This window comes from Homo sapiens, chromosome 11 (genome assembly GCF_000001405.40).
Source record: "Homo sapiens chromosome 11, GRCh38.p14 Primary Assembly".
In the NCBI taxonomy this organism is placed as follows: domain Eukaryota; kingdom Metazoa; phylum Chordata; class Mammalia; order Primates; family Hominidae; genus Homo; species Homo sapiens.
This window is the reverse complement of record NC_000011.10, coordinates 46,358,943-46,374,062: the sequence shown is the minus strand read 5'-3', so window position 1 is coordinate 46,374,062 and position 15,120 is coordinate 46,358,943. Positions and strand designations below refer to the sequence as shown.

Here is a 15,120-nt window from a genome sequence, read left to right as displayed (position 1 = left end):
TTCACAGGCTTTTCCTGGTCAGCAGCGTCCGCTAGGGCTCAGCCCAGCTCACCCGCTGTCAGGCACAGCCCTGCTCTGCCTGGTGGCTCCTGGGGGATTTCCCTGCGTGCCTGCAGCATCTCTTCCCTGTCAGCTCCCCTAACACTTCTTCCTGACATGCCATGTGGAGCACAACAGCGAGGCTTGGTTTTGCTCACTGCTTAGAGAAGTGCCTGGCAGGTAGCAGGCGCTCAGTGCATGTCTATGGAATAAAGCAGCATCTTCTGACCAGGCGTGGTGGCTCATGCCTGTAATCCCAGTGCTTTGGGAGGCCGAGGCAGATGGATCACCTGAGGTCAGGAGTTCAAAACCAGGCTGACCAACATGGTGAGACCCCATCTCTACTAAAAATACAAAAATTAGCCGGGTGTGGTGGCGGGTGCCTGTAGTCCCAGCTACTCAGGAGGCTGACGGAGGAGAATAGCTTGAGCCCGGGAGGCAGAGGTTGCAGTGAGCCAAGACTGTGCCACTGTACTCCAGCCTGGGTGACAGTGAGACTCTGTCACAAAAAACAAAAAACAAAAACAAAAAAAAAAACAAGAAAAAAAAAAGAAAACAGAAAAACAAAAATTAGCCAGGTGTGGTGGCACCTGCCTATAATCCCAGCTACTCAGGAGGCTGAGGCAGGAGAATCGCTTGAACCTGGGAGGCGGAGGTTGCAGTGAGCTGGGATTGCGCCACTGCACTCCAGCCTGGGTAACAGAGCGAGACTCAGTCTCAAAAAAAAAAAAAAAAAAACAAAAAAAAAACACAGAAAAAACAGCATCTTGTGAGGCAAGTACTATTATTCCCATCGTACAAGGAAGAAGTGGAAGTTGGAGAAATGAAGAGACACGCCCGAGGTCCCAGAACCAGCAAGTGGAAAAGTGGGATCCAGTCCCCAGTCACCTGCCCTGCCCCCCACCAACCCTGGCCAACTTACCCGGTCGGTGGCGCCTTCATCTCGGTCCTCAGGCCCTGCCTCGGGGTTGGGCTCAGCGTGGAGGTCCCAGCGGTCCAGCTGTACCACGTTCCCCTCCTCCACGTGGGAGAGGATCTTGGACACAGGCTCATCTGTGTAGCCCTGGGGGAGCAGGCAGGGACTGAGCCCTCTGTGGCTGGAGAGGCCCCAGCTGCACCCCCCTCCTATGGGTGCTTACCCCACCCCAGTTGAGGGTTCGGGCCAAGTCGTTGCCAGTACCCAGGGGCAGGATGGCAACAGGGGGTGGCGGCTTCAGGCGTAGCTGGTCCAGGGTGGAGAGGATCCAGCCCACCTGGGGGAGGAAGAACAGAGGCAAATCAGGCCCACAGGGACCCCGGCTTCAGGCCCAGCCCTGGTGCTCGGCTGGCCCATGCGGGGAGCTCACCGTGCCGTCGCCCCCGCACGCCAGGATCCGCAGGTTGTGCACTTTGCGGTACATCTCCAGCCTGGGCTCATGGGAAGATGGCAGTGGGGTCAGGGGATGTGTGCTGTACCCCAGGAGTGAGGCAAGTTCCCCCCCATGTCCCCCACAAAACCTTGGCAAGTACTTACGCCTCCTTGGGCCCTCCCTGGCTCAGGTCGAAGACTTGTCGGGGATTGAGATACCAGAGGAAAGACTGGATGATCTTTGCACCCTGGATGGGATGGGGAGCCAAGAGACAGTCAGGCAGTGGTGGGACGAAGTGGGAGCAGCAGAGGGAGAGGGGTGTGACTGTGGGAACCAGGGCCAATAAGGGGTGAGGGGTGGAGAAAGGACAGGATTTTCTCAGGATCCCTGGGAAAGAGGGATTGGGGTAGAAGCCAGAAACGGGCTCTGGGAACAGCTGCTGGCAGACGGGCTGGACCCCAACCCCCGCCCGAGCCCTTAGCTGAGAGGCAAGGCCGCGTTCACCTGGTTGCCCCCACTCTTGGGGTTCACAAACACCAGCAGGGGCTTCATGAGCGGGGAGGGGGTGGGCCTGATGATGAAGGGTCTCCAGCGGCCCTCCTGGGAGACAAGGTGAGAGGCTGTAAGCTCCTTCCCGTCCAGGACACCCTACCATCATCCTTAGCAGGCCCCCTGGGTGACTTTGTTCCCTCTTTGTACCCTCACGTACCATCTCTGGGCCAGATCTTACCAGGCCACAGAGCAGAAACTGGCATCTAATCCTGCCTTCCTCAGAGGCCCCAGAGCCCACACAGACCCCCACCAGCTGGCAGCATTAGCTGGGGGTGGAAGTTCTGTACCCTGAGCAACAGACCCCTCTCTCCTGCTCCCCTGCAGCCTCTGCCCAGCCTGGGGCTGACCTCAGGCCCTTTCTTGCTGGACTTCCTCTTGAAGGATGCCCTCTTCTTCTTCTTGCTTGCTTTCAGAGTATTCTGCAAGGGAAGCAGGGGTGTTGGTGACGAGGTGGGCAGGCTGGGGTAGCTGGCAGACCCCAAGTGCGTACGGGGCATCAAGGGTGCAGGCAGTACTCACCTGGGGCCTCCGGGCGCGGAGGATCCAGGTGGGCGGGATGACCACGGCTGCGTGGACCCCCAGCGAGCACGGCTCCTCGATCTGCTGCAGCATGAAGCAGGACACCTTGCTGTGGTACTGAGGAGAGCGAGGGGCCGGGCTCAGCGGGACCGTGTTCAGACTCGGGGACCCAAACCCAGCAGTGCAGGGCCTGGCCCTGGGGGCGGGGGCACCACTCACTGCCTGCTTGCACCACGAGCAGCTGATGGCCACAATCTCCTTGCTGTGGAAGGTGAACTTCTGCTGGAATCCCTGAGGGTAGACAGGATGGATGGGAACCAGGGCAGGCGTGGAGCAGCAGACCCAGCCCCTCTCCTGGTGCCAGCCTCTCTCCACCCAGAGACAGGGCCTCGCTATGTTGCCCAGGCTGGTCTCAAACTCCTGGGCTTAAGCAATCTGCCTCAGCCCCCCCAAGTAACTGGGAACAACAGGCATGTGCCACCATGCCCAGCTTTGAACACATTTTTTGTTTTTGTTTGGAGATGGAGTCTCGCTCTTGTTGCCCAGGCTGGAGTGCAGTGGCGTGATCTTGGCTCACTGCAACCTCCACCTTCCAGGTTCAAGCGATTCTCTTGTCTCAGCCTCCTGAGTGGCCGGGATTACAGGCGCCCACCACTACGCCCAGCTAATTTTTTGTATTTTCAGTAGAGACAGGGTTTCACCATGTTAGCCAGGCTGGTCTCGAATTCCTGACCTCAGGTGATCCACCCACCTCAGCCTCCCAAAGTGCTGGGATTACAGGCGTGAGCCACCACACCCAGTCTGAACACATTTTTTAAAATAAAAAAAAATATGTATAAGATAAGCCTGAAGAGCAGGGTGGCTTAGCCCGGGCCCCCTGACTCCCTGAAGTTACCTGCACGGCACCACATGCATACCCGTTCTGCCACACTGCAGGCTAACTCCTGCCTCACTCGGATTTTCCCTCCTTCCTACCCCCGAGGCCTGACCAGACCCCCATGTGCTGTTAAAGAAATTTACTGCCGCTTCCGAGTACCTATCACATTCATTCCCTGTTCATCACACAGGCTGTTATGAAAGGCCTGCAGTGGGCCAGGCGCTGAGAATCAGTGAAGCAAGCCTCTCCATCTTTGAGAGCCTGCACTTACTGAGGGAGGCGGGCAAGAAGCAAACAAGAAAGTGAACCAAACAACTGTGGACTGGGTTAGGCGGTCGCCTGGAAAGCCTGGCTTCAAGCCACACTGTCCTCAGGAGGGTGGGAAACCGCTGCCCAGCTTGGCGCTCGGCACACAAGTATCCATGGAGTCACCGAATGAGTAAGTCTATACGATTCTCCAAAGGGCCACTTGCAGCTTCAAAGCAGGCCAGGTGTGCCACATGGGAAGAAAACTTTCCTCCCTGCTCTCCTACTAAGCCCAGAGACCAAGAGCAGGCCAGGGTGCTTGAGAACTGAAGGCACTGCAGCCAGGCTGAGGGTCAGCCCCGGACTCTGCACACCAGGGTGTGGTCAGTGATCGGCAGGCCACACCGGCCACATGGCCTGGGCTCAGGACCGCAGGTGCAGGTGGCGATGTCCTCGGGCAGGGCCTCTCACCTTCCCACAGTGCCGACACTTGCCGTCCTGGCGTCGTCTGTGTACCCAGTGGTGCCGTACAAAGGTTGGCTGGGGGAGAAGGGGAAAAATTTCACTGGGTGAGGGGTGGGCAGGGGCACAGTCCTGAGGACTGCCCACACGGCTCAACACACGGGGCTGCAGGAAGCGCTCTGCAGTCCTGCGCATGAGTGGAGGAGGGGCTAAAGACTCTCTTCATGGCCTGGGGGAGGCTCAGACTCAGAGGGACAGAGAAGGCTGGGAAGCACCAGGAGGCACAAGCTGTCCCACCCACTCCGCAGGCAGCGCTAGTTAGGCCTCCGCATGGCAGACCTCAGACAGACCTCAGTGAGCAGCAGCCTAGAGGGAGCCGAGCCCCCTGGTGGCACTCCAGAGGCACTGCGCAGAGGCCCATGCAGGAATCTTAGGGTGGCCCCATCCCTGACCACCCTGGGCACTTACCTCGCGGACATTCCTGGAGCCTGATTCACGGAAGGACGGCTTACAGCGGAAATTTATCTGTGAAACATGGCAGTGACCACCAAAATGTCAGAACCTCCCTTCGGGGTCAGGTATGTGGTCACTCCCTCCAGGACAACCCAGAGTCATCCTCACAAGGTGGGGATACCCCCAAATCGTCACGAGAGTCCTTGAAACACGAGACACCTCCTGTGAGAAGCCCTCCTGCCTCTCTGCCTCCTCCTCACTAGCCAGAGGGATCTTTCCTTCTTCCACCCAGGACCCAGGATGAGGGGGAGGTTGGGAGCTTTGGGTCCGTCTCCCCCACTAACATGGGACCATGGTTTGCTCGTTGTTTTTTTTTTGTTTTTGTTTTTTGAGACAGAGTCTCGCTCTGTTGCCCAGGCTGGAGTGCAGTGGTGCGATCTCGGCTCACTGCAACCTCCACCTCCCGAGTAGCTGGGATTACAGGTGTGCATCACCACGCCTGGCTAATTTTTGTGATTTTTAGTAGAGATGGGGTTTCACCATGTTGGCCAGGCTGGTCTCAAACTCCTGACCTCAGGGTGATCCACCTACCTCGGCCTCCCAAAGTGCTGGGATTACAGGCATGAGCCACCGCACTCGGCCGCATCCTTTCTTCCTCGCCCTCTGGCACTCCCGACCCGGGCACACGCAGCCAGCCTGGTCCTCACACGCAGACTTGCACTGCCTGGCCCCTGGAGACCTTTAGCTAATTTGTGGAACCCTAGGTCGATTTCCACCTTAAATGATGAGTGTACAGTGCTTGGGGCTGCATTTCTATTTCCCTTCTCATAACTGTCCCTACTTCAGCCTTATTAGAGGTATAAGGAAGCCTCACTTTACAATTCAGAGGCTGGGGAAAGCAGCCTGTGTGAGCCTGCCTGAACCACTCCTAGTCTTACAGTCTCTCCCGTATGATGGCCTGGGTTTCTGCAGGCTGGGAAGCGCTGCCCCTCCATGCGAACCCTTCTGCCCCTGGCCTTGACCCGTCTGCCCAGTGCTGCCTCCACCTCTAGAAGCACAGTGCCCAGACATGCCCCCAGCTGCAAATGCACAGTGGACAATGGCCCTTGGGGAAAGGTCTCCACAGAGGCAGGGTGTAGCCACAGCTGAGTTATGAAGCTTCAGCAAATCAATGGCCTCTTCTAAGCACTAGTTTGGACATGGTGAAATGGTACAAGGGCCACCATTCGTCAATTCATTCCATTGAGTGATATTCAACGAACCCACTAGGCGCCAGGTTTGTTCCAGGCAGTGGGGATACAGCAGCTAATCAGTGAGGAGCCAGGATTCGAACGCAGGCATTTGGCTCCAGGGTCCTTGACTCTTCACCCCCGAGTGCTGGGTCACTCCTGGCAGGCCGTTTGTATAACATGTGGGTGTGAGTGCGCGCTGAAAGGGCCTCAGCACCCAAAGGGCAGGGGCGGGCAAAGCTGAGCTACCCACCCACCTTCTCCAGCTGCTCGATGCAGGGCGTGTGCACCACAATCTTGCAGGCTGCGCACTTTCTTCGAGACACTGACTTCTGCTGCAGGACAGGAAGAGAGGGCCCCTGAGGCACCAGGTAAGTCTATCTCGGAGGCTGCCTGCCCCAGCACAGCTGCCCTTTGTGTGCACTGGGAAGCCCCAGTCCTGGCATCCGGACAAAGCCCCTGCACCCCTCACCATCCTGGGGCGGCCCACAGCAGGGGTGCCAGGGAGCGGGCTCAATCCCACGTTCCCGGAAGGGCTGCGGCTACTGGCTCCACCAGCAGGGGGCGGCGTGCCCCTACGAGCACTCACCAGCATCCTGGCTACACAGTACTGCTCCCCAACGTAGCAGAAGTCCCCGGACACGTTGGTCTCGAACCAGATGTGCTCCCCATATGTCGCTGACTCCTAGCCACGGGATGGGCTTGCTCAGCACACGCTGGCCGCCCAGCCCTCCCTCCCATCAGCCCCCGCCCACCCGCCCTCTCCCAAGACAAACCCACTCCAGCGCCCCGATCGACCCTGCTCTGTTCCGTCTGCCCCACTGTCCCAACCCTTCCAGGCTTGGCTCTCCCAGCTGCCTTTAGTGCCTCCACCCGCCAGCTGCGCCTTGGCCAAGAGCCCAGAGGGTCTGGGACCCAGGGGTGTTCAGGCACTCACGCTCCAGTCCACTGTACTCCGGATCTGCCGCTCTGACTCGCTGCACGGGGCCCCAGGGGTGGGCGGAGGGGGGGCCAGGTGCTGGAGGCCCGACTTGGTGATGGCTTTCCTAGAGAGGAGAAGACAGCTGAGGAGGGGGCTGAGCACTTGCTGACCCTACTTCCTCCCACCTCCTGGGGCCTCTGCCCTTTCCGTGACCTCGGCAACAGGGAGGGCGGAGGAGCCTCCCAGCAGCCCCAGACACTAAGAGGCTCCCTGCAAGAGACATGGCCTTTTGGGGTACGCTGGCTTCAGGGTACTGCCCAGAGTGTTCCCAAGTGGGGAACCCTCAGCCAGGCAGAGCTTCAAGGCCCATGCCCAGGCCAGACCCACAGGAGGTCACACCACTCGCCCTGCTGGCCACAGCTATACCTACGCGAGCAGGGCGCTCCAGGCCTGGGGTCCGGCCGCCTTGCGCCGTAGGGCTACCTGGCGCCTGCGGGACAGTGGGCGCACACGGGTGGGCAGCATGGTGCCGGCGGTGGTGCCTGAGGCTCTTCGGCCCCCAGGGCCAGGGTGCTGGCCTGAGGGCCGCCGCTGGCTGAGGCGCCGATAGTAGCCGTGCAGGCCCCAGAGAGCGTGGTCATATACGGCATCCGCGGGGAGCAGGTGGGAGGAGGCTCGGCGCAGGTAGCGGGGTAGGGGCAACAGCGGCTGGGCGCCCCGAGGTGGGGGTGGCCCTGGTGTCTTGGTGCCTGGCTGGATGGCGCTCGATGCCTCGGCTACCACATCCTCCTGGACACCCTCCTCCTCATTCATGCCCACAAGCCCGGTCAACAGCAGGGGTGCACCCAGAAGCTGGGCCCCCACGGTGGTAGGCTGTGGAGTGAGCACCTTATCCACGATGAAGCGGGGGTTGCAGGAAGGGGGCACAGTGCTGGAGCGCCGGCGGCTGGAACCCTGGGCCCTCACCCCGCAACTCAGGAGGCAGCCCTGGAGCTGGGCGCTGGAGCGGCGCCGCTGTGCCAGTGAGGAGGAGGCCTGCCCAGCGGGGGAGCGACGCCGGGCCTTGCCTGTGGGCAGCCCCACGCTGCTGGGCCGCTGCTGCCCCTCTCCAGGGCCTGGCACCTTCCCCCGGAAATGTCTCCTAAAGAAAGTCTCCATGGCAGGCGGTTGGCTGTTGGGCACAGAGACCGGGAGCATCAGGAGCTGGATCAGGCCACGGTCTGTCCTGTGTCCGGGAGCCCATTCACAGCCTCTGCCCCATGAGAAGGGAAGCAACCAGGAGCCCATTCACAGCCTCTGCCCCATGAGAAGGGAAGCAACCCCTGAGGGAGGGAGGGGTCACTGCAGCCTCTGACCTCCATGTGAGGATCCCAGGGGTGCTCAGGGGAGCCCACGTTTACAGCTGTTGGGGCACTGATGCTCTCCCCCATTGCACCCTAGGGAGCCCTGGAGTCCCAGGGAGGTGGGTGCTTCAGGCTACCCCTTCTTCCCCCATCCAGGCACCAGAATCTACAGAGCTCTGGGCCTAAAGGCCTCCACCTGCCCTGCCGGAAGCTGATGGAAAAGAAAACAAAAAGAAAATGGGGAGTCGGTCTGCCTGGATGGACGGTGGGGCCCAGGGCAGGGCTTCCCACTTGCTGGGCCTTTGTTTTGCCACCAACATGGTGGGGGCAGGTTAGGTGTCCCCTCATGGGACATGGAGCAAACCAAGCTATAACAAAATGAGGCTCTCTGCAAAGGAACTTAATCCTGACAGGACCCCCAGAGTCTCTCAGCCCATAGCCTTGGGGTCAGGCTGAAGGTGACTCCTGGAAATAGAGAGGGTCTAATGTGTAGCTCAGGGGAGACCAGGTCTCAGGGAACTGGAGAGTCACTGTCTGGCTCTCCTGGGAGAGAGGCTGCTCAGTCTCCCTTCACACCCAGGGGGCCGTGACAATAGGCTTGGGCCAAAAGCAAAGCCTTCTGGATTCTGGGTGTGTGCGTGCCTGTATGTCTGAAGTGCTGATGGTAAGAACTTTCTGGTGCTCGACTGCTCTGTCTCACCTTTCTGAAGGGACAAAGTACGGATACCCCAGGGTGAAGCTGGGTGATGCCGGGAAACCCTTCTGACTCTGCTCCTGATGGAGCCTGTGACTGCACATTCTTCTGCGGCCCTGATGCTGGAAGCCCCCATACTCACAATTCCAAACGCTGCACAGCCCAGAGCTCCCTCCTGCAGGCAGGCAGGAGCTGTGGGCATCATCCTAGCTCCCACCTGGACCTGGCCTCCATGGACCCATCCTGAACTCATGCTTTGCTCCCTCTGCCAGCTCACCTCAGCCCTGCCTACCCTTCTTCACAGCCAGCATCGAGCTCCTGTGCCCTACCTCTCCTAACAGTGGGGGAAGGGCAGCCTGCCTGGCATGGATCAGGCTGGCGATGCCTCCAGGTACCTGAGGCCACCTGTGCCCCACAGCAGGTGATCTCCTGGGCCCTGGTCCTGGGGAGAGACTGGTGGGGGATGCATCCTAACCGCTGGCAGCCACAGAGGTCAAGGTCACAGCCCTGGGACAGTGCTGCCTGGGGCTGACAGAAGAAGCCCTGTGGTCCCCTGAAGGCTGGCATTAATTAGGCATGGTGGGTGATGCCCTGGACGCATGTTGGGCAGGAGGAAGGATGAAGGCAAAGATGAAGGGCTGGAGGAGTCAGGCCCAGGCCGCACGTCTAGCACCTTCTCCTTCCATACACTGCACTGATTTGCTACTGCCCTGCAGGTCTTGAGCAGCTTCAGGCCAGGTACAGGGGTGTTGGGGGAGAGATGGACAGGGTGGAGGTGCCTAGGGAAGCAGAGTTCTGCACAGCTCAGCTCTTGGTCTCTGCCTATTGGAGTTTCCAGCTGCCTCAGATGACAGGGAGGTCAGGGCAGTGCTCTTATGACCCCAAATAGTGCCCCACTCAAAGCAGACCACCTGGGCCGGAGGGAGCTGCAGGGGCAGGACAGCAGGCATGGGTGGAGAGCGCTGGGTCTCCCCCAAAATCACCAGTGTCACGGCTGACATTTACTGAGCCCCTATGTGTCAGGCACTGTGCTAAGCCCCTGACAAACACTTAGATCATTTCATAAACTGCAACCCCAAGGAATAGGTACTGCATCACACTGCATTCCTGATGAGGAAGTTGACGCAGAGGTGACCGCCTAGAGTCCACGGCAAGTCAGTGTGGAGTCAGTGCTGGAGTCCAAGTCTACCTAACGGCAAAGCCTGCGTCCCAGAAATGGGGTGGGTTGCAGGGTCCTTCCTCCTGGAACATGAGGCTGGGATGGGGTAGGAAAGGGAACCAGATAGGGAATAATAACGAACACCTGCTACGTGACAGGCCCTGGGCTAAGTACTTTATCATCTCGTGTAATCCTCACCACAGCCCTGTGAGGTAAGCAGGACCTGCAGCTCCATTCTAGAGATGGGGAAACTGAGGCTTCAAGAGGGCCAGTAACATGCCACAGTCCCACGGCCAGTCAGCGGCATTCGGGACCTGAACCCGGGTCTTCCCGACCTGGGGCCTGCTTTGTGTCAGGGGAAGAGGAGCCTGAAGGCCCAACTGCCCCCTGCCGTCAGGGCACCGGCCTGCCAGCCCTCCCCAGGGTGTCAGCTTTCCTGCCTGCCTGGTCAGGCCGCCCTGTGACAGCTGCCCAGCCTGGAGGAGATTAGTCACCCGGACACACCGCCTGATGCTACTGTCACCCAGAAAACAAAAGGCCACAGTCAGTGGGGGGAGGTGCCGCTGCACCCGTGGGCAGCGGTGAGGGCTGAGCCCAGCTTGCGGCCCCAGACCTGCACTGACAACAGGGGCCAGGACCCCCTCGAGAGACAAGGGCGGCTTACAGGAGCTCCTGTGGTGCCCGGCTCCACACACTGCCAGGCAGCCCAGGTCCACATCTGTCCAGGAGTCTCCTCGGCGGCCGATGATGCCGCCCCTCCCAGCAGAGTGGGGTGGGCAAGGCCGGCAGTGCTGTGTGACTGTGTGCAAGTTGGCCCCTCACGGGCCTCAGTTTCCCTGTGTGTCTGGGGAGGCTGTCAGAGTGGCTGAGCTGACAATTTGTCACAGGCTCTCCTGCTGGGCACCCATGCCTCCGTGCTCCCATGCCCCTCCCCGCAGGCCTGAGTTTCCTGTTCCTCTGGTCTCCATAGAAACCTCTGTCCCTGGTCAGCAAGAGCCTGACTCCTCACTTCCTATCTCTGCTGGGGCTTCTCCTGGGCCTTGTTGGAGCCCGCCCTGGGCCTAAGCCTCTCCCATAGCGCAGCTCTGCGTGACAGTGTCTTCTCACCTCGTGCTCTTGGTCACCTCCACCTCGCCACACAGTACGTGTAAAGGTCACCCTGAGGGCTTCAACACCAAGAGCACAGCAAAATGGCTGTCCCTCGGTCTCCGGGTGGGGAGCCTGTTACACCAATGGGGACAGGATGGGAAAGGACTCAGGGGACCCCATCAACCCTTGGCCGGCTCTGGGGCCTGACAAGGACAGGGCCTGGGAAAGGACAGAGGAAGTCAGGAGACAAGACCATTGGTGTCTGGCCGTGCACCCTTGCTGGACAGTGGCTGTGGCTGCAGGTGGCCGAGCTGCAGTGGCTGCTATCGGGGCAGGCAGGCCGGAGAGCTTCATCAGCTACAGCTGGAGCGGACAGGACACCCACCCTCCAGAGCCCAGGCCATCTCACGCCCTGTGCTAGTTTCAAGGGCGTTGGCATCCTGAATCTGCCACTGCCACCCTAGACTGATCCACTAACCTTTCTGAGCCTCAATTTTCTCATCTGCAAAATGGAGCTCACACCACCTGGTTCAGAAGATTGGCCTAAAGGAGGTCTGGATGCGATGACAGAGAGAGAGTGCCTGGTGATACCTGGCAGACAGCAGGGCCTGGCAGGGCCTACACCCACCATAGACACCAGAGCATGTGATTGTGCTACCTCCTGGGGTCTGTCTGCCCACAGTGAGGCCAGGAACCCAGAAAGGGAAGCAGGAGTGCCCAGGGTGGCCACCACCCACCGCATGAGGAACAGAGCCGGCCACAGGTGTCACCTGGGTATCTGCTCGTGCCATGAGGAATGCCCTCTGCACCCGGTACCAGGCCTGGCCCCCTGAGTTGCTCTCACAGGATACCCCATGGGACTGACCCAGAGCGCCCACTCCACACCCTGGGCAGGGCCTCGTCCGCCTTCTGCTCCGTGAAGGCTGGGCATGGTGCATGGCGACCCCACCTCCAGCAGCCCCAGAGCAAGGGCCTGCAGCTGCCTCCCCAGAACCCCCTCGGCTCTGCTCCCACAGACCTGGGTTGGAGGGAAGGAGGTGGGGAAGCTGGAAGGGAGGCCAGTCCCTCCCCAGTCAGCCTAGGGGCTGGGGAGGCAGAGTCCTCCTCCCTTCCCCAGGCTGAGACTCACCACAGGGATCCTGTCAAAAACAACAAACAAAATGTACCTCGGGGAGCAGGTGGGCCAGGCTGGATGGTAAGAAGGCGACCAGGCCAGTGAGTGTTTAGTCGGCAGGGTCTGCCCTGGCTCAGCAGGAGCTCGGGGGGACCCTTTTCCATCAGCTTCAGGAACCTGGCAGGGCAGGCTCCTTGCCTAGGGATGGTGGGGCCCGGGTCCGCCCGGATCCAACCCTCCCCGCACCCACCCAGCCAGATACAGAGGGAGGAAGCAGAAAGCAAGGAGGGGCTGGGGGCCCCTTTTGACCTGATCTGGAAGGCAGGGCGCAGGTGGGAGCTGGGGTCCCCAAGGCCGGGCTCTGGATCCAGCTCCGGGCTGGCGGCCTCTGCTGAGCAAGTCCTAGTTTGGAGAGCTAGCAGCCGTGGCTGCTCCTCTGCCCCCTCCCCCTTGTCACCCTCCTCCCTGCAGCCTGAGACAGCCGTTATGAAAATAACCCGATTGGTAACTGAACGCACTTCCTCTCCCAGCAGCGGCTCCAGGCCCTGCAGCAGGCGACGGGTGGGCGGACGGGCACACAGCGCACGAGCGTGCCTCCCAGCTCCTTTTCCCAAGGTTCCCAGAGCCAGGCTGGGTGACAACCCAGTGGCCTCCCTTCCACCTGGCACCCAGTACAGCCCAGCCCATGCCTCAGCTTGGGAACGAGGTCTAAGGAGGGAGAAGTGGGAGCCAGGCCCTTTTAGGGAGGGGGCCCCCCACTAATGCCCCCTATTTAGCCACCTAATGCCTTCTCACGCCCACTGGACAGGTTTTCTGAGGTCTGGGGAAGCTAATCACACCGGCTCCAGACAAAACAATCACAAAAATAAGTATCTGTGGAGTGTTTCACAACTTACAAAGTACTTTTCACCAGCATTACAAACGGGAGGCTGGTATTTCCCCTGTGCAGACAGCACTACTGTCCCACTGAATAGATGGGGCAACTCGAGGCTTGTGGAAGCCCGTGACTGCCCACAACTCCGATTTGGTTGAGCTGGGACTCCAGCTTCTGGGTCTTCTGGCTCTGCCAAGCTAAGGAACGCCCAGAAGACACCAGTCTGTGTTATATGTATCCTGACTGGAATGCCACCCCCCCAACTCCCAGTCCTGACATGGTACCCTAGGGTCTGGAGTGGCAGCTGTCCAACTGCCTGATCCCAAGACCTCTTTAAACTCTTTTTTTTTTTCTTTGAGATGGAGTCTTGCCCTGTCACCCAGGCTGGAGTGCAATGGCGTGATCTCAGCTCACTGCAACCTCCGCCTCCCGGGTTCAGATGATTCTCCTGGCCCAGCTTCCCGAGTAGCTGGGATTACAGGCACCTGCCACCATGCCCAGCTAATTTTTGTATTTTTAGTAGAGACGGGGTTTCACCATGTTGGCCAGGCTGGTCTCGAACTCCTGACCTCGTGATCCGCCCACCTCGGCCTCCCAAAGTGCTAGGATTACAGGCATGAGCCACCGCACCCAGCCTTTTTTTTTTTTTTTTTGATGAGGAAAGGGGCGAGGAGCTTCCACGCCCTCCCTGGGCACACCATCCTCCAGGAACCTCCATGTGTTCAGCAACTTGAAAGCTCCCAGACCCCTTTACACTCTCAAAATTGGTGAAGATCCCAAAAGAGTTTTGTTTTAGGGGGTGACAGCTATTAATATGTATCATATCAGATGTTAAAACTGAGAAATGTTTAAGATACTTACTAGCTTAAAACAATAAGCCCATTACGTTAATATAAACAACACTTTTATAAATAATTTTCTAAAAAAAAGTTAGCAAAAAGAGTGGCATCATTTTACATTTTTTGCAAATCTCTTTAACATCTGGCCTAATAGAAGGCAGCTGGATTCTCCTGTCTATCCCTGCATTCAATCTGTTGTGACATGTTGTTTTGGTTGAAGTATATGAAGAAAATTCTGCCTCACACAGACATGTAGTTACAAAAAGAAGGAATATCTTTAACAGCCTTTCCAGGTAATTATAGATTTTCTTTGCTACTACACCAAAATATGACAAATGACAGTTTCTCAAAGGTTAGTTGCAATGTGGAATCTAAAACCGTATCAGGCCGGGCACAGTGGTTCACGCCTGTAATCCCAGCATTTTGGGAGGCCGAGGTGGGCGGATCAACTGAGGTCAGGAGTTCGAGACCAGTCTGGCCAACATGGCAAAACCCCGTCTCTACTAACAATACAAAAAAAAAAAAAAAAAAATTAGCCGGGCATGATGGCAGGTGCCTGTAATCCCAGCTACTCGGGAGGCTGAGGCAGGAGAATCGCTTGAACCTGGGAAGCGGAGGCTGCAGTGAGCCGAGATCACGCCACTGCACTCCAGCCTTGGCCACAGAGCGAGACTCCATCTCAAAATAAATAAATAAATATAAATAAATATAAATATAAAACCACGTCAATGAACTTTCCACTGGACTACCTTGCATTTTGAATTTTGTAACATCAAGCACCAGTCATTGGAAAATACTGGTTTACTGAGTTATGCAGATCTTCCAAATGGTGACACATTTTATTTTATTTTATTTTTGAGATGGAGTCTGGCTCTTATCGCCCAGGCTGGAGTGCAATGGCGCAATCTCAGCTCACTGCAACCCCAGCCTCCCAGGCTCAAGTGACTCTCCTGTCTCAGCCTCCTGACTAGCTGGGATTACAGGCATGGGCCACCATGCCCAGCTAATTTTTTTTTGTATTTTTAGTAGAGACGGGGTTTCACCATGTTGGCCAGGCTGACCTCGAACTCCTGACCTCGTGATCCGCCCGCCTTGGCCTCCCAAAGTGCTGGGATTACAGGCATGATTCACAGCACCTGGCCTTATTTTATTATTTTTTTTTTGAGATACAGTCTTGCTCTGTCGCCCAGGCTGGAGTGCAGTGTTGCGATCTCAGTTCACTGCAACCTCCTCCCAGGCTCAAGTGATTCTCCTGCCTCAGCCTCCCGAGTTGCTGGGATTACAGGTGTGCACCACCATATCCAGCTAATTTTTGTATTTTTAGTAGAGATGGGGTTTCACCATGTTGGCCAGGCTGCTC

General features: G+C 58.2%; 1 protein-coding gene across 7 annotated transcripts in view, besides 4 other annotated features; it reads right to left on the bottom strand.

The window, feature by feature from the left end:
• DGKZ (diacylglycerol kinase zeta) overlaps nt 1–15,120 on the bottom strand; it is a 47,629-nt gene that overhangs the window by 6,492 nt on the left and 26,017 nt on the right. For 2 of the 7 annotated variants that reach the window (NM_201532.3, NM_001199267.2), the window contains exons 2-14: nt 6,664–6,772; nt 6,316–6,411; nt 5,984–6,058; nt 4,513–4,569; nt 4,054–4,122; nt 2,679–2,750; nt 2,460–2,576; nt 2,288–2,359; nt 1,893–1,988; nt 1,553–1,635; nt 1,386–1,446; nt 1,179–1,292; nt 962–1,102 (exon numbers count right to left, since the gene is read on the bottom strand). In NM_201532.3, the coding sequence (NP_963290.1) occupies nt 962–1,102; nt 1,179–1,292; nt 1,386–1,446; nt 1,553–1,635; nt 1,893–1,988; nt 2,288–2,359; nt 2,460–2,576; nt 2,679–2,750; nt 4,054–4,122; nt 4,513–4,569; nt 5,984–6,058; nt 6,316–6,411; nt 6,664–6,772 (1,162 nt within the window). Of the gene's footprint in view, nt 1–961; nt 1,103–1,178; nt 1,293–1,385; nt 1,447–1,552; nt 1,636–1,892; nt 1,989–2,287; nt 2,360–2,459; nt 2,577–2,678; nt 2,751–4,053; nt 4,123–4,512; nt 4,570–5,983; nt 6,062–6,315; nt 6,412–6,663; nt 6,773–7,078; nt 7,820–12,356; nt 12,458–15,120 lie in introns of those variants that run through there. The other 5 variants (NM_001199266.2, NM_003646.4, NM_001105540.2 and 2 more) reach the window with 4 other exon arrangements.
• Nucleotides 3,485–4,042: an enhancer, noted in NCBI's record as "H3K27ac-H3K4me1 hESC enhancer chr11:46391571-46392128 (GRCh37/hg19 assembly coordinates)". NCBI's record gives its function as "activates a minimal SCP1, AML or CMV promoter by ChIP-STARR-seq in naive H9 embryonic stem cells {active_cell/tissue: H9 hESC(naive)}" and the evidence as "EXISTENCE:reporter gene assay evidence [ECO:0000049][PMID:30033119]".
• Nucleotides 3,485–4,877: a biological region, named in NCBI's record as "CDK7 strongly-dependent group 2 enhancer GRCh37_chr11:46390736-46391935".
• Nucleotides 3,678–4,877: an enhancer, noted in NCBI's record as "CDK7 strongly-dependent group 2 enhancer chr11:46390736-46391935 (GRCh37/hg19 assembly coordinates)". NCBI's record gives its function as "activates an origin of replication core promoter dependent on BRD2, BRD4, P300/CBP, MED14 and CDK7 cofactors, with strong dependence on CDK7, by STARR-seq in HCT116 cells {active_cell/tissue: HCT116}" and the evidence as "EXISTENCE:reporter gene assay evidence [ECO:0000049][PMID:35650434]".
• Nucleotides 4,043–4,602: an enhancer, noted in NCBI's record as "H3K27ac-H3K4me1 hESC enhancer chr11:46391011-46391570 (GRCh37/hg19 assembly coordinates)". NCBI's record gives its function as "activates a minimal SCP1, AML or CMV promoter by ChIP-STARR-seq in naive H9 embryonic stem cells {active_cell/tissue: H9 hESC(naive)}" and the evidence as "EXISTENCE:reporter gene assay evidence [ECO:0000049][PMID:30033119]".